Source organism: Homo sapiens, chromosome 12 (assembly GCF_000001405.40).
Source record: "Homo sapiens chromosome 12, GRCh38.p14 Primary Assembly".
NCBI classification, from domain to species: Eukaryota; Metazoa; Chordata; class Mammalia; order Primates; family Hominidae; genus Homo; species Homo sapiens.
The window spans coordinates 18,532,070-18,550,816 of NC_000012.12; the positions used below are offsets into that span (position 1 = coordinate 18,532,070).

Sequence of the window (18,747 nt, forward strand, 5' to 3'; positions counted from 1 at the left end):
TTTTGATAGGTGGGTAGTGATATCTCATTGTGGGTTTAAGTTGCATTTTCCTAGTGGTTAATAATGTTGAACATCTTTTTATATGTTTATTTACAATCTGCAAGTCATCTTCTGTGAAACATCTCTTTATCTCTTTTGCTCATTTTCTAATTATATTGTTTGATTTTTATGGTTAAATTTTGAGAATTTTTAAAATAGACACTCCAGATACTGGCAGTTTGCTGGCTATGTGTTGGCAAATATTATCTTCTAGTCTATAGTTTGTCTTTTCATCTCCTTATTATTTTTCACAAGACAGACATGTTGAAATTTTAAAATTCTTTGCATAGCCCTAAATGTAAAAGACTTTCTCCTTTTTTTTCCTAAAAGTTGTATAACTTTACATTTTATATTTAAGTCTGTGAACCATTGTAAGTTAATTTTTGTATTAGGTATGAAGTTTGGGTCGTTTATATTTTTACATATGGGTGTCTAATTGTTCCAGTATCATCGGTTCAAGAGGCTAACCTGTCTTCACTGAATTACTTTTACAACTTTGTACAAAATCAGTTGGGCATGTATTTGTGTGGGTCTGTTTCTATATTATTTATTCTGTTCCATTAGCCTATGTGTATTCTGCCACCAATACCAATTTTCTTACTGAACTGTCTCTGACAGTACCCTGTGGGGGATTGAAGTGCCACATCACAGTCTGGTAGGAGTGGGAGTGTTGGCTGCCTACCTTGCCCTTGGCTGGTGTAGGGGAGAAGTGGTGTCACAGTGTCTTCCCTGATATTTAACTGGAGTAGAGTGGTTACAATCTAAAAGTTTGCTGTTTTTTTTTTTTTTTTTTCAGCTGCCCCTTTAAAGCAGGCTTTTCTTTGGGGCTTTTTGAATTGCCTGCTTTAGCAGCATGTATTTCATGCCTAGAATATATGAGGCAAAAAAGAAAACCCAGAAAACTCACCTCCATGTTGTTACTTGAGTCCTGACATCCCTAGGTAGTCTGTCTTCTTTATGCCTGTCAGAGTCACCTTATGTTTGCTTTGTATATAATTTCCAGAGTTCTTAATATACTCAGTGGGAGGAACAAGGAAAAATATGCCTACTTCATCTTCCCAGAATCAGAAGTTTCACTCACAAAATTTTACCTCCAACCTAAATCTTTTCTCCATGGTCCAGAAATGAGTACCCTCATTTTAATCTGCATTTGTATGTCTCAAAGCCACCTCAAATATAACTTAAGCTCAAAGCTCAGCTACCTCCAAATGTTGCACTGCAGTCTTCCTGCTACACAAGGGAAAAAGTTAAAGTTCTTCTTGGCACCTCTTCTCCCTCTCATTCTAATTATCGTGAAATCCTATTGATTTTTTTTTCTCTGAAATATGCTTTTAAGTCTTCCCACTTCTCTGTTATCTGTATGCCACAACTCTAATCTAAGCTACTATCATATCTGGTCAAAATGTTTTGCAAAAGTCTCTTGTCTGATCTGCTCATATATACCCTTCCTGCTCCAAACCCTTCTCTGTATTGTTAGTGGAGTAATCTTTTCAAAACACTATTGTTCTTATTTAATAAATTTATAATGCTTTTAGAACATTGATTTTTTAAAATCTTTCACCTCACAAGCCTTGCACAAATCTATTATAGAAGCCCAGTATTTGTTGATAAATAACTACAGTGTATATCTCCCTGATTAGATTCAATTCACCTAACAGACAGAAATATACCCTAAAACTCTACATATCTTTAGTTCAGTGGTGATCTGCAAATGCTTAATGATAATGATCTTGGTATTCTAATGACTATACAAGGAGATTATATATACAGTATGGCTAGAAGGAAAACATGTGAAAGTAATAAACAGCAAACTATTAATTGTCCTGCTATTTCTTTTTTTTTTTTTTTTTTTTTTTTCTGAGACAGAGCCTTGCTCTGTCTCCCAGGCTGGAGTGCAGTGGCACAATCTTGGCTCACTGCAACCTCCCCCTCCAGGGTTCAAACAATTCTTGTGCCTCAGCCTCCCGAGTAGCTGGGATTACAGGTGTGTGCCACTGTGCCTGGATAACTTTTGTATTTTTTGTAGAGATAGGGTTTCACCATGTTGCTCAGACTGGCCTCAAGCTCCTGGCCTCCGATAATCCACCCTGCTCAGCCTCCCAAAGTGCTGGGATTACAGGTGTGAGCCACCATGCCCAGCCTCTTGCTATTTCTTACATCAAGTGAATTTATTTGTCTGCTTAATAATTATTATCCGTAATATAAGTGTTCTTACATTTCTAAGTATATATACATTTTTAAACCACCAACTCACTTCTCACCCCTATTGGAAATCTGTAAAATAATCACTCTCTGCATTTAAAAATAATAATAACTTCAGGGAAAAATGGTCATAAGTTAATGAAAATATTAATTTTGACAACAAAAATGACAGAATCGTTACAAATATGTTTGTACTTATGGCCTTCCCAAATAAATGTCAAATTGTTACAAGCTCTTCACTATATGAGCTATGTTTATTTATTGTTGCATTCATCGCATGTAAGAGAATAACATCAAAATATTGTTTCTGATGTTAAGACTATATAAAAGGAAGGTGGACTACTTCCTCTGCTCTTGAAAATCATACGGGTCATTTGGATTAAAAAAAAAGAAAGGCTTCTGATCCTGACAAGGTTTGGGTTAATTGGAGAAGACTAATAAGACAAGATTTTTGGTCCTGATATCTAAATCAGTTTTAGAACATCAGGTGAGAAAGAGAGAGATGAAAAAAAAAAAAAAGTAGTTACAATATGAATAAAAGGTACAGAAGCAAGAACAGGTGGGACTTTGGTAAGCAAAGGTAAAACCACTAATCTAGAAAAAAAAAGTTAGGATTGTCACAGCAAGAAATATCTATAGTTTATTTTTATAGCTATAAATAAGATTTTCAATATATAATTCAAAATATAATCACAGTATAGACCATGAGAGATCAAATTTAGAATATTCCCTTTTGTCACAACCAATTTATACCTCAGATTTATAAGTAATGCTTAAATTTCAGAGATAAACTCCAACACATTAATTCTATAACATAGGAATAGGTTTACATTTCAGTGGACTGATAAATTTTATCCTAACTGAAATTTCTACATCTTACAGGAATAGATGGGATTTTGTTTCACATATGAAGTTTCTTTTCATTTATAGACAAGTTTAGGGTAATTCTGAGGTTTAAAAAAATTGCTCAGAAGTGAGCCATGAAAATCATATAGAAAAGATACAGAATTTTATTTTGTTGGATCTACTGAAAATTTAGACTATGATAATGTTTAAGCACAACTAAAATTTGTTTCTTTAATATTACTTTATATTTTATTTAATTTGTATATGTTTCTTTTGTGTATTTAACTTTCTGTTATGGTGTTTCTGCATCTGATTTCTAATAATGGTGACTATGGACAAAAGAAATGTGTTATCTCATGAACTTGAGCATAACTACAGAAACCTCCCAAGAGAAATTAATTTGATCCATCATAATTCTCCTTATTGAAAAGAGAAAAGTATATTCATCATATTAGGAGAAAAAGTTTCAGGAAGTTGTAAAAAATTAATACTCTTCTAAAATTATTTCCGAAGTTCTACTTGATATAGTAAACACAGCATAGAGAGTAGGGTGGAAAAACTATTAGAAAACTGTTACATATAAAATTAAGATATTTTTCTGATTATGAAAATCTATGATATTGCTAAAACTCTACTAAAATATTGGCAATAGTGATGAGTGAGTGAGCAATATATAAAAAATGCTATCAGCTATCGCAAGGACAAAAAACCAAACACCGCATGTTCTCACTCACAGGTGGGAATTGAACAATGAGATCACATGGACACAGGAAGGGGAACATCACACACCAGGGCCTGCTGTGGGGTGGGGGAAGAGGGGTAGGGATAGCATTAGGAGATATACCTAATGTTAAATGAAGAGTTAATGGGTGCAGCACACCAACATGGCACATGTATACATATGTAACAAATCTGCATGTTGTGCACATGTACCCTAAAACTTAAAGTATAATTAAAAAAATGCTATCAAATTCAAAGATCCACTTACGGGTTTATGCAGCAAGAGAGGTTACATGGAGTAACAGAGTAAATTAAATCTTGGAATAAGGATGAGATTTTTCTGATAGATTTTTGAAGAGACAAGGAAATTTAGTGATAACAAGGTTCAGCTATGAGAACACTTGGCTGTTTGCAGACAATACTATTTAAAATTTGGTGAGTGCTTACTACATGCTAGGCTATGTTGTAAGCACTTGCACATGCTATGACCCATTTGATTCTCTCAACCATACCAAGAGTCAAGTGCTCTTATCTCCATTTTACAAAGAAGGAGATTAGAGAACGGAGAGATTAAGTCACCCAGAGTCATAGAACTACTATAGTTAAGTGGTGAAGCCATGATTTGAAACCTGGTTCACAGGCCCACAGTTTGTGCCTCTGCAAAAGCCTCTCTCTAATGTGAGCAGTTCACAAATGTGCCACCCTCCCTATGTGTCAGGCATTTATGTACATGTACATTTCCTAAGTTAATCCTCACAGCAATTCTAAGAGTTAGGTGGTTTAGAGATGAAGGATTGAGACATAGCAGGTCCAGAATTAGAACCTATGCTATATCTCATGTTTTCAACATCTCTTCTCCCAGCTTGGCTAAAGTCAAGAACTTGTAAAATAATTCATAGAATATAGGTTGGATAAGTCAATGAAGGCCAAATAAAAAAGGATTTTGAACCAAAATTTTAAAATTTAGACCTGATACTTTAGACATAGTCCGCAGTGTATGTATGTGCTCAATAAATTTTGTTGAAGAAATGAATGAATATAAACAGAAGTGAAGGTACTGGTATTCCAGCCTTTCCTCCAGGCATTGTGGTAGCATGGATTACAAAATAAAGTTTCTAAATAAAATAATCATAGCCAAAAAACTCGAGTGTTTGTTTTATTTTAAAGATTTTGCCTGCAATTAGACCCCCCTGTCCCAAACCTGCCACAAATTGACGAAGTTGTAGCTTTCTGATATAAATATCCACACTACTGAAAGGTCTCATTAACTGTCAGATCAGTGAAATTTTTCACTCCATTGTATTTTTACTGAAATAGCTAAGCATAAGCAACAAAAAGAAAACAATTATGTTTTATTATTTAAAACAAAAATAAGAATTTCCCTCAATAATCCATGACTTTTTAAATTGCTACTTGGTCTAACCTTTCACCAAATTAGTGTCAAATTGGCCTAAGGTATCAAAACTCTGTGTTCTTATTCAATGAGTGGTAATTCCTCCAACAGGGATGTTTCCAATCCTCTCTCTGCTATTCTCTGTTAGAATTGCTAATATTTCATCTCAGCCCTATCCGTATCTTAAATGACATGATAAAAAAACTGACAAAGGTGGGGGACGTGGGACCATCTTCTCTCTGGTCTTTTGTTTTCTTATTTTTCCATCCTTAGACTACAGTGGTCAGTATTACTTACATAATGATATGGTCTACTCATATCTTCCTTTCTGACCAGCGTTTTTACTGGGTCCAGTGTGAAATAAAATATAGCTACCTTTTTTCTCCTTCACTAAGCATATGCCAGTGAATTGGTAACATCTGCTTGCTTCTTAGCTTTTACCAGAAACTTTTTTCCTAAAGGGTCATCATACAAGGAAATTTTTTTTAATACTATAAGGTCAAACACATCTGTTCGATCATATCAAAATTTAGCAGAAAATGTACTTTTTATAAAGACTCTATAAATATCAGCTTCACTATGAATTGGCCTTTATGTTACTTTTAATGAATAATATTCCCCTCCAAATGTAATTTAGAATTAAACATTTCAGACAATATAGTTGACATTGTAAAATATCTTATCCTTTTCTCTCTATTGCAGCATGGTTATTCAAAGCCTACAATTATGCAGTTTCTCAAGCTGCCTCACAATGAAGGAAATTTATCTATTACAGTAGAGAAAAAAAAAAGAAAATTCAAATGAAAATAAGTCGTTATAACTGCTGATTTAACCTGACAAACCATTTCTCTTCCTTCGAATGATTGCTACTGTTTTTGGTTTACAGGGACCGAGCTCCTTTCATTTTTACTTCAGAGATGGAATACTTTATTACAGAGGGTGGGAAAAACCCACAGCATTTTCAAGATTTTGTGGAACTTTGCTGTCGTGCTTATAATATTATCAGAAAGCACAGCCAACTGCTCTTGAACCTGCTGGAAATGGTAAGTCCCTTGGGAAAAAAAAACAAAAATAATAAGCTTCATTTATGCCTCTGCTTCAGTAGTCTATTTTTACTAATGGCTTGGAGTTCCCCAAGGAGCTATTCGGAAGAGAAAGGAATGAGAAAACTAAGAGTACCATTGTACAGCTTATAAACGTATTTCTTAATAATTTAATATGTTCGTTCATAGTTATTGTCTCAAACATTCCTATTCGTATCAATATTGATGCAGGTAGGGGTTATCCCACTATATTTTGACTAATGTTCAAGGACAGTAATTTTAAAAATAATGCCTTCAGTCATACTAGGCATTAGGATCTTTCAAAAATGCCTTATATATACTATCTCATTTATATATCATGACAACCTAATAGTGTAGACCAGGCAAGAATTTTCCCTGGCTGTCCATTCCAAACTCCACCTTTGATCACTTGCCAATTTCCCACATTAAGAAACTGAGAGTCAAAAGTGGAAAGTGAGTTGCTAGCAACTCAGCTTTTCGTGGTATGCATTAGGTGTACTGAGTCATGGTCCTACACACTCTCTTGTGACCAACAGGGGAAAATTTAAGGTTTTATTCCACTGTTCACTTTAAAGAGATGGAGACCAGATATGTACCATGAGGGAAGAAAAATCTGATAGAAATATCTTCTAGGAGAGGGATATAGTGATTCCTCTAGGCACATACGTACACACTAGTGATTGCAGCAAACTATACATGGGAAACATACATTTGGTCTATCAGCATGGGATTTGGAGTCTATGAAAAATAACTGATTTAGAGCTTCCAGATGACAATAATTCTACCAGATGTTGTTAAGGGTACAAACATGGCAGGCAGACCTTTCTGGGTTTCAATCCTAGTTTGGCATTTTACTGGCTACATTCTTCAGGACATGTTAACCCCCAAAAGACTATTTCCTTATCTGTTAAATGAAGATAACAACATCTACCTTGTAGAGTTAATGAATAAATGACCTAGTAGTGAATTCTTTGCATGGCCCAGGCATTGTGCTAAGTGCTTTGTGTGTATTAATTGATTTAAAATTCATAACAACCCTAACAGATCATTAACATAAAGCACTTAGCACAGTACTTGCCATTTAGTAGACTTCAATTCATTTATGTTATTATACTAGATCCTTGTTAATTTATAAGGCCACTGTCCAATGTAATATCCTCTAGTCACGTTTGTTTATATTTAAATTAATTTTTATTAAACAAAATTTAAAATTCCAGTCTTCAATTTCACTGATCACATTTCAAGTACTCAGTAGCCACGTTTGGCTAGTGGCATCATATTGGTCAGCACAGATAGGAAACTTCCATCACCACAGAAAAGTTCCATTGGTTAGTACAGAACAAATGTTGACTTTGTTGCAAGGAAGATTTGATTTGGATTCTTGTTTTAACTTTCAAACAACATATTCACCTTACTTCTCTCCACTTTGCCTTGAAAGATAAGTATCTCTAAAAATATTATAAACATGTCCTTCATATGCAAAGATATTGGTTTCTTCTTGTGTAAAGTGGATATATAAAGTTCTACCCATCTCCGAAATCTTCAAGATTACTTTTCAGTAATAGCCAAGGATTCTTATTGGTAAATTTGCATTCTATCTCCCAATTCTATTAGGCCGTTTTGCAAGTATGAGATGACTACGGTTTATAATGTGTCTGTACCACAAACAAACAAACAAAAAAACCCTATAAGGATTAAGTCTGTGATTCTGACCCCATTTAAATAATAAATATCCAGGTAGTATCAAGTCTATGTCTCCTTGGACTCTAGCAAGCTCTAGCTCATGAATTCATGAGCTCTTGAGTGTTTACCACAGGCTAGAAATTGCAAGGATACATTAACATAAGAGACCCAGAGTCTTAAAATTTTCAACTTAATGAGGAAGATAAAATTTATTTACATAAAAGACCGAGGTATCCAGCATTTCTAAATGCCTATAATGATATAAATAACTACATGTGAGGAATAGTACCCAATTTTAACAATTGCTTTAACCTGCTCCAGATATTTCAAAAATAAACCCAAAACAGAAAAGCACAAATATAAGTTATGCTGTTTCTCAGGTGACACTAAAATTATGCTGATGAAAACTGAGCATGTTAAAATAATGTGAAAGAACAGCTCTTTCAGAAAGCTATCAGTGGGCTTTTTTTCTCTTGTTTAATAAACTTTTCTACATACCTTAACAAAGCATTCAGCATAAGAGTCATGATATGTTAAACAATCACCAAAGAGAATGTATAGTGGTATTTTATTTAAAAGAAGTAACTGTGGTATTTTATTCATAAGTATTAAAATAATTTATCATTAATCACTTGTTGAAAATTTCTGGAATATAGTATATCCAAAAAAACTTCTATGCTCTAATTATTCAGCTCTTTTAGGCTAAGGAAGAAAATTTGGCAGTGGAAGGCACTAATCCAGAGTAAACATATAATCTTAGATTTAGGCTCTCACAGAAATTGAAATAGAGATCAGAAGCAATGTGGACCAATTAAACTAATGAATAAATACATGTAAAACAGCACTGTGTTATTACCTCAGTTTCTGTTCATTTACCTCTCAACTCTCTTCTTCTCAACTGTGTTATCTTATGGGACTGTAGATCATCAAAGCATTTAGTGAAAGTTTCAGGACCACCCTTTCTTTGGTATAGCTTCTTATAAAATAAAACCAAGTTTAAATTTGTGAAAGACTATTTTCTACTTATGTATGTAATCTATTCATTAATTCTGTCTCAACCCGACTCTTTTATGTTAAATTCTTTAAAAAGAATTCAGTCTACTTACCATGACCCAGTTACAACTTGAGAAATACTTGACATGGGTCATAAATTCTATCTTGTGCAAATGATCAGTCCCCAGGATTATGGGCCACAGACATTTGGTGGGTCCACTACAGAGTTAATGGCTCATCCTTAGTAAAGAGCAGCATGTCTCCAGATATCCATATTGCTTTTTATTTACTCCTGAGAAAAGCGGGGTAAAAAGTAATCCATGAAATTCCCATCTTGCTTAAAAGTAACATCTGTAGGAGACCCAAGAGTATTGCCGGCTGAGTTCCCGAAAATAAAAGCCTGTGTTTCATCAGCTTTTCTCTCATTAAAAAATCAATATCAGCTATTATGGAAGGCTCCCAGAGAACACAGAGACCATTTGCCCAGTTTAAAATGTTTATCACACCCATTATTATATTAGATATTTCCCATCAGAGATCTTCCTAACTTCTCTATGTGATGGGGAAGAGTGTCTGCTTTTCTGAGCATAACTGTTAAAATAGATTTGGACTTAAGAGAACAGAAGTAAAGACTTCAAAAATGTTCCTGACTTTTAAAAAGGGACGTATCTATTCATTACCTGTATCTGTTCACTTCCTGTTCTAGCTTCCCTTTCCCTTGGTATTGCCCCAATTAAAGTTATTACCCATGCAGTCTAGAGTTGGGGGCACCAGAACCATGTGGCTAGGGGTCAGAGAAGAGACATAGCTAAGTGTACCCGGCTAAGAGGCCATCCTTACTCTGTGATTTGCAGAGTCAACACTCAAAGTCTCCTCTCCAAGGAACAGAACACATTAATAAGGGCAAACTTGGCACATGTTACCTTTAGTCAGATACATGGTGGGGAGAGAACTATTATAGGTTCATCTGGTATGAAGCAGTCTGTACTTGGCAGCTAGTGTGTGACATGTGTGGGTTATGTGTGTGGGTGTTGGCAAGGGAACGAGTAAGTATAGGGTCCACTTTCCAGAGAAATGTTTGATAGAGTTCTAACCAAGCAGGTGTGAATTCAGGGTATCCAGAGAAACTGGAATGCAATTCAGACCTTACAGAAGAAGCCTATCCTTAGAAAATGGATAGTTATGGTGTGATAAAGAAGAAATCTGCCTCAATGAGCACACGGAAGTCTCCAAACCTCTTAGTACAGAACTAGTAAGATAAAACCTAATCTAGATTCTAGTGGCTATCGGGAATGTGTCTTCCTATGGTTGATTTTGTTAAGTTTACTAGTCAGCATTAAATTTGCTAATTGTAGGTTTTCATTGCCTAATAGCATCAAGTATTTTTTTCTCTCTTATTTTAAACTTTTATTTTAGATTCAGGGGTACATGTGAAGGTTGGTTACATAGGTAAACTTCTGTCACAGGGATTTGATGTACAGATTATTTCATCGCCCAGGTATTAAGCCCAGTACCCAATAGTTATCTTTTCTGCTTCTCACCCTCCTCCTACCCTCGCCCCTCAAGTAGATCCCAGTGCCTGTTGTTTCTGTCTTTGTGTTCATGAGTTCTCACCATTTAGCTCCCTCTTATAAGTGAGAATATGCAGTATGTGGTTTTCTGTTCCTGCATTAGTTTGCTAAGGATAATAGCCTCCAGCTCCACCCATGTTCCAGTAAAAGACATGATCTCATTTTTTTGTAAGGCTTCATAGTATTCTATGGTGTATATGTGCCACATTTTCTTAATCCAATCTGTCATTGATGGGCATTTAGGTTGATTCCATGTCTTTGCTATTGTAAATAGTGCTGCAGTGAACATTTGTGTTCATGTGTCTTTACGGTAGAATGATATACCCACAATGAGATTGCTGTGTCTAATGGTAGTTCTGCTTTTAGCTCTTTGAGGAATCACCATACTGCTTTTCACAATGGTTGAACTAATTTATACTCCAACCAACAGTGTGTAAGTGTTCCCGTTTCTCTGCAACCTTGCCAGCATCTGTTATTTTCTGACTTTTTAGTAATAGCCATTCTGACTGGTGTGAGATGGTATCTCATTGTGGTTTTGATTTGCATTTCTCTAGTAATCAGTGACATTGAGCTTTTTTTCATATGCTTGTTGGACACATGTATGCCTTCTTTTGAGAAGTGTCTGTTCATGTCCTTTGCCCACTTTTTAATGGGTTTTTTTGTTTTTCCTTGTAAATTTGTTTAAGTTTCTTATAGACGCTGGGTATTAGACCTTTGTCAGATACATAGTTTGCAAATATTTTATCTCGTTCTGTAGGTTGCCCGTTTACTCCGTTGATAGTTTCTTTTGCTGTGCAGAAGCTCTTAAGTTTAATTAGATCCCACCTGCCAATTTTTGCTCTCATTGCGATTGCTTTTGGTGTCTTCATCATGAAATCTTTGCCCATTCCTATGTCCAGGATGGTGTTGCCCAGGTTGTCTTCCAGATTTTTATAGCTTTGGGTTTTATATTTAAGTCTTTAATCCATCTTGAGTTGATTTTTATATATGGTGTAAGGAAGGAGTCCAGCTTCAATCTTCTGCATATGGCTAGCCAGTTATCCCAACAGCATTTGTTGAATAGGGAGTCCTTTCCACACTGCTTGTTTTTGTCAGCTTAGTAAAAGATCAGATGATCATAATTGTGCGGCCTTATTTCTGGCCTCTCTATTTTGTTCCATTGGCCTGTGTGCCTATTTTTGTACCAGTACCATGCTGTTTTGGTTACCTTAGCCTGAATCATGTGTTTTTTTATTCATGCATTCATTATCCCAGACATTTATTAAAATCTAGCTATTTACAAAGTGCCGTGCTGTGCAATGTACACAATTCAACATTAAATACAAATCCAGTTCCTGTTCTCAAAGAACTTAAGATCTAATATGACAAACATACATATGAACAAAACACAGTAAAAGCTAGGAAGCAATACGTACTATGAAAGAAGTAGAACCAAAATATGATTGTACAAAGAAAGCAGTCATTAAATCTCATGAAGAGGATCAGTGATGCTTCAAGGAGGAAGCTGAGCCTTGAAAAAGAATTTCAGTGACAAGGAAAGAGAGAAAAGGCAATTCCAGCTGAGAGAAAAATGTATGTGTGGAGGTTTAATGAGCATGGGCATGATGTGTAGTAAATGAAGGTAACCAAGTGTGCCCAGTCTGTGCTATAGATGGAAATCTCTGTAGAAGATGAGGCTGGAGTGATAGGTTACAGTGTGATTATAAAAGACATTTGTGACCAGAATGAGGATTTTAGACTTTAGTACCTAGACACTTGACAAACTAGAAGTTTGTATGCTTATGATAAAGAAGTACCATTATCTAGCTGGGATCTTAGGCAGATAACAGAGTTTATGTAATTAAAGAGATAAGGATTGGAGAACAAGATAAAAGTTATTCAAGATATCTGGGCAAATGAAGATGAGGGGCTGAATTAGGACAATGATAATTACAATGAAAAGGGGGATGAATACAAGAGACTGCTGAGGAGTGTTTTTAATAGAATGAAGTAATTGATTATAGGAACCAGGAAAAAGAGAGAATCAAAGAAGATATGAATTTCTTGTTAGTTGGGCAGTGGTGGCAGTGTAAATGAAACAGAAAAAAAAGAAGGAAAAGTTTATGTGAGAAGAGAATTTGCTGTAATTTAGATGTCATGAGTTTAAGATGCTAATAGATCATCCAGGAGGATAGAGAGTTGACAACTCTCCAGGACTCCCTCATCCATCTCCTTGGTTTCAATTATCATTTATATGCTAATGACAGTCAAATCTGTATTATAGCATGTGCTTTGGACCCTCTCAATATGTCCAATCTATCTCCCAGTTTTCTCAATTCTACTTCCTACATTTATTTAAAATCCAATGACTGATCTTCATTCCTAACCAGTCTCCTAATCTAGCCTCTAAACGGGCCTCATTTTAGTCCATTTTCCATACATAACCACAATGATCTTTCAAGACACAATTAAATCTCTTACTCTCATGTTAAAACACTTAAAGAGCTTTCTTGTTTTTTTGTACTTTAGGATAGAGTACAAAATCCTTAATGTTGCCAGAATGTCTTATCCTACTTGCCTTTCATCCCCATCTCTTGCTGCTCACCCATGTAATACTCGGTTCCAGAAAGCCAGCCTGGGTTTCTTTCTGCAGACATATTAAAGACATCTTGCTTTCCTTTGTATGTCTTGCTTTCCTATACATGCTGCTTCCTGAGCCTGGGTGGGGATGGTGGGAAAAAAGAATAGTTTTTATACCATTCTTTTTCTCATTTGAACTTCAGCAAGTTAATCACAATTTCACCCATCTTCCAAAACCATATTCTCACTTTACCCTTTGTTTTAAGGATCGATAGTATCATTCTTAACATCTTATTGTAAGAGGGCCTTTATTCCAGAGCAGTAAATAATTTATCATCTTAGTCATAGAAGTGCTGATAACAGTCTTCATTTTTTTTTTTGCAAAGTTCAAATTTAGTTTAGAAAGTTCTATTATTTTCTTTAAAAAAAAGTAGTCTAAAGAGATTATAATTCCCTCAGTCTACACTGTAATATAAACAAAATATCTTCCTGATAATTGGCAGGAAAATATCTTATACAATTCATCCTTAATTATTTATTGCCTTAGTAAATGCAGTCACCATTTAAGTAGGGAAAATTGTATTCTTCTAGTGAGAATCATGGAGTCATAAAAGAACATAGGATTAAGAACCAGAGCGGTGAGTTTTATACTCTATGTTTGCACATCATTTGACCTGGACATATCACTTACAGTTTTGTGGAGATTAAACTTTTCTTCTCTAAAATGCATATTATTATATAATTTTTGTGTAATATTTTGTAATGTATAAACCTCTTTCTTATTTTATATCTATTTTAAAAACGAGAAAATGAAGACTCAGAGGTTAAGGAACTTTCTCAAAATCACATAGATTTTAAATGATGGGTCCACAAATTCTCACATGGGGATAATATCATGCTTATTTCACTGGTTTATGATGAGAATAAAACTGAATTATTAATCTACAAGAATGTTCCAATTATAGTGGTTCTTTTGTTATAGTTGTTATTGCTGTTGTCTCTACTACTTAATAGAAGAGATTAAAAACGCACGAACTTATATGCATTCGTGTATATAAACTGAAAGACATTGCCATGCAAACTTGGGTCTAGATGTCTCTGGGTAGAATTAATCAAGTAAGCTTGATTGTATCTGCATTTATTCTGTCTTCTTTTTGCTTTGCTTGTTCTTGTTGTGGTTAAGATGCTGTATGCAGGACTGCCTGAGCTAAGTGGAATTCAAGACCTGAAATATGTGTATAATAATCTTCGTCCACAAGACACAGACCTGGAAGCAACAAGTCATTTTACCAAGTAAGATCACCTATGAATGTGTGAGCATGCATGCATGAATGTACGCAGACACATGTTCCACAGTGGAGATGATTTCAGGTTGACCAGTCATTGGTATGAAGCTGTTGTTTCTAGAACAAGCTTGTGTTCCCTTTCCCAAAGAGCAGAAAGGAAGCAATGTGAATGTCTAGCAGAAGGCCTTAGTCAGTGTTTCTGCAGCATGTCATTGTTTGCTAACCAGCCTCTTCATCTAACAGATTGCTCAATAAGAGGTCATTGAAAAGAGCAAGAGCTGACATAAATAAATTGGTTGTTCTACTTGAACTATGTCCAGAAAAACAATTTGGAAAAAGAGATTTATGATGAGATATGTACTCACTACTTTCCTATGTAAGACAATACAAATATTGGGATATTTGGTCAAAGACCTGTGACTCTCTTCTACTTTTAATCTATTTTTTATTAAACAAGTCCAGCAAAACACTGATGTATATCAAGGTAAGAATCTGGGCAGAATATGATGAATATCAGACCCCAAATCTGGTCAAAAGGACAGTACATTTTATAAGATCTTTTTGAATTTTTCTTTTTAAATGGATATATAATTCCTGGCAAATTTTAGGTGCTCAATAAATGTTAGCAGTAATTATTTTCCTACAAACAGGAGAGAAAAACTGCATTCTTTCTTTCCTGTAACCTCTTAATTGTGGTCTTGAGTCTAATTTTTAATTGTTCTAATATTTTCCACTGAAAATTTATAAACAGAGATTATATTCTTTTAAGTGGAATGTATGCTTTAAAGAAAATCATGATTATAATAAAACCTCTTCCAGGTTTTACTTTTTCTTTCACCCTTCCAGAATATACAGCAAGAAATTGCTTCCCACTCCAATGGTGGCAGTGCGGCTTCATGGGGATGTCGTACACACTTGGGGAATTTCACTTGGCTCAGGGATTTCTGTTTCATGAACTTGAATGGGTGTGCTGCCCTTGTTGTTGAAAAGAGACAATGTGACAGAATCACAAAATATTACAGCTGGAAGAGCCTTTATAGTTTATTTATTCTGACAATAGACATTCAAGTGAGAAAACTGAGATACAGAGAATTGTCTTGCCCACAATTAGTAGAAGTAGCAAGAAACAGTGTCTGGTCCCTCTAGTCCTGGGTTTTTCCAGTACTCAATATTGGAAATTATATGATATGATTATGGAACTCCAGGAAGAGTTGTTGCAAAAACAAAACAAAACAAAACAAAAAAAACCCTGCCTTCTTGCTATCTAGTTCATTAGAGATCCCTTAAGGGAGTCCAGCAGGTTGTCTTAGTCTTGAAAAATGCCCTTTAATAGTACAATGACCTCTGAAAGAAGCATTTGTTTACATCTACTAGCAAAATCCCAAGTAATTGATGTTCGACTGTGGCCAAAGACATTAGCTTGAAGACTTGGGGAGGTATTTTAGACCCTTTATTTCAAGGATCAGGAACTCTACAGTTATCTCAACTAATGGGGATGGGTGCCTTGCATGAGAAAACCCAGGGAAAGCCTCAGGAAGAACAGAAGGGCAGCGTCACAGAGTCTGGAAGGTCCTTCAGAATTGAAGGCAGCTCCAGGGACCACATCAGCAGGAACTTACTCCTTCCCCTCTGACTGTTTAACCCGAGTACAAAACTCCATCCCATGCAGGTGGGTTTACGTGGTAGCAAAAATAGCCCCCTGAGGGTATCCCTTCAGGAGAGGATCTGAGTAGGATTCTTTTCTTTAAAATGGCTGCAGCATGGCAGACACAATGATTGACATGTCAGTGGGGCTGGGTGGGAAGACAAAGGAGGAGCATGGAGAAAGCTAGGGAAGGTAGAAAAAAGGAATGCAAAGTTGGACTGCAAGGCCTGTGTTCGAGATGTGTCATTGTGTGGGCAGAACAATTATAGTGCTGTAGCTTACTATTAGTCCCTCCTGAAAAAGGAAATGCCATATATGTATTTGGATGAAAAAAGTTCTTTCAGGCCCTGGCCAAAAGAGAAATGTAAATAGGCTTTATTCATCTGCCAGAATTCCATCTCTCCCTATCCCTCTACTTCATGCAACACACTGAGATCTGTAAAGAGCATAATCTTGGATATCAGTGATCTTGCCTACGGTGACCTATCTCCCCTTCCCATTCAAGAGGACATGAACTAACGTGGAAGTAGATCTGAAGCTAGAACCTCATGGCAGTGAGGCGGACCTTGTGATCCTGCCTGCATACCTCTGCCAGGCCAATCTTCCCACTTACCAATGTTATGTGGTATGTTCTGTTAATTAAACTTCTTTCTATGACTTTGGAATAAAGAACTTGTTCTCCATTGAAGCCTTAAAAGGCATCAAATTATGGAAACTAGGACACATCATTTCTCAGTTCAATAATTTTCCTTGGTGTGCCATCTCCTGTCTCTCACTTCCTAGGACCTTATAATCTGATTGTCTTTGTCAAGATTTATCCAACTACCCGCCCCCTGTCTCCATTATTCCACATGAATCCTTTTCTGGATAGGCCATTCTCTCCATGTATATTCATTCCTGCATTGTCTGTTTAACTCGCTTTGCTAGCTCACTAGAAACACTCCAATGGAATCATAAAATTTCTGGAATACAGGAAGATTCTGATCTAACTTTTAATCCCACCCATCCCTTGATATTCTGGACAGCTAGTACCTCATCCATGAAACCTTATCTGATCATTCCAGTACTTCCCAATCTTTTCTTCTATAATTCTCTCGAACATGCCGTCTTTTGTGCTGTCCTTAATTTATTACTGAATTACATACTGTCTTGTATATCAGTTTAATTAATATATTGATGAGTTACATCAATTTCTCCCAAGTAAAGCAGGGAATGTATTCCCAATTCTAAGAATATCTGAATATGAAACAAGCCCTATTTAACAGAAAATGCAATTTAAACATCAAATATCAAGTATATAAAAAGCATATAATAATAACTACAACTTAATGCAGTGCTTCTTGTGTGTCAAGCCCTGTTCTAAGTGCTTTTCTTACAGTAATGTATTTAACTGTCATAACAATCCTATGAGGTATTAATATCTTTATCTACATTTTTATACTAGTGAATTGAGACCCCAAGGAAGTTAAATAATTTACCAGAGAACGTTCTCTATGCTCAAAATCACCTCTTCCATATGTGGGCTCTCAGGAATGTGCTGCTTTGTAATTCAGACCACAGTCTTCTCAAGGTTTTTCAGAGCCTGCGTTGGCTGAAGTTGAACAAAGATATATTCTCCAGCCTTTCTCAGGCACTCATCCTTTTATCCGGAATACCTCAAGCATCAGCAGAGAACAGAAGTTCCTTTCTGGAACTGCTATCTCTATGCTACCACCAGGAGTCCCCTGGATATTTGGTTCCAGATCTGCTTTGCTGCCCTGAGAGACCCCTAAAGGGTAACTTGGCAGCTGACTTCCTGGAAGTCACCTTCCTTCCTTTTCCTTTTGTGGCCCATTCCACAATGCCATGAGCCTCTCTCTACTTTTTTTTTCTTCTCAGAGAAATATCCCATGAGGCTCACTATCCCCTAACTTCCAAGAGCCCATCTCAGTCATATTTTTTAATCTTAAAGTCTCAATTACATACCTTTATTTTTAGACATGATTTAATGTGCAAGTAGCATATCTGTTCAATTTCTCTGTGTTTCTTGCTCAGCATATATACATCAAGCACTGAGGATCTTTTCTATCACACATCCCATCTAGCACTATGAACAATCTCTTACAGAGGGGCCAGCAGCCTCCATTAATTGTAACTGTAACTACCATTTAGAAATATTTCCTGAGATCTATCATTTGTATATTATAAATTTCTGAAACAAATTATGTATTATGTTGTTTGGAAATCCTTAAACAATGAATAGAGTGAATTTATGAAAGCAGCCTGGGATAATTAAAAACAACTTTAATGGAACTCTAAATAACAGGATACCCATGACTCAAATAACTGTTAAAAATAATGTAGACTTGTTTACTTTGTGTAAATAATATTGCTATTTTGTGCTGTGTTCCCTGATATCACATGGATTTTAAAACTTAGGGAGACTAAATGCAGACCTCGTTGCACATAATTCACCAAAAAAAAAATGGTTTGTCATAGATCCATCATTGGTGTCTTCGTGCTTCAATGAGTGGCATTAATTCATAGATAGATAATTGATAAAAGTATATTATATACATATAATATGAGCCCCTCTATATTTAAACTCCTTGTTCTTTTTATTTCTTTGTTCTGATAGGCTAAAAGTATTTTATGCCACTGTTTATTGTGATACAACTACTAAGTTACAGACAAAAGTAAGACAAGAAAACCCCTTCTCCCTTCTCCACTAGGCTCACAGATTGGGATCCCGAGCCAAGACCAGGCC

At 35.7% G+C, this 18,747-nt stretch overlaps 1 protein-coding gene across 14 annotated transcripts in view; it reads left to right on the top strand.

The window, feature by feature from the left end:
• Positions 1 to 18,747, top strand: part of PIK3C2G (phosphatidylinositol-4-phosphate 3-kinase catalytic subunit type 2 gamma) — a 483,857-nt gene that overhangs the window by 289,109 nt on the left and 176,001 nt on the right. For all 14 annotated transcript variants that reach the window (XM_047429007.1, XM_017019471.2, XM_047429008.1 and 11 more), the window contains 2 exons: positions 6,087 to 6,243; positions 14,254 to 14,363. In XM_047429007.1, the coding sequence (XP_047284963.1) occupies positions 6,087 to 6,243; positions 14,254 to 14,363 (267 nt within the window). The remainder of the gene's footprint in view (positions 1 to 6,086; positions 6,244 to 14,253; positions 14,364 to 18,747) is intronic.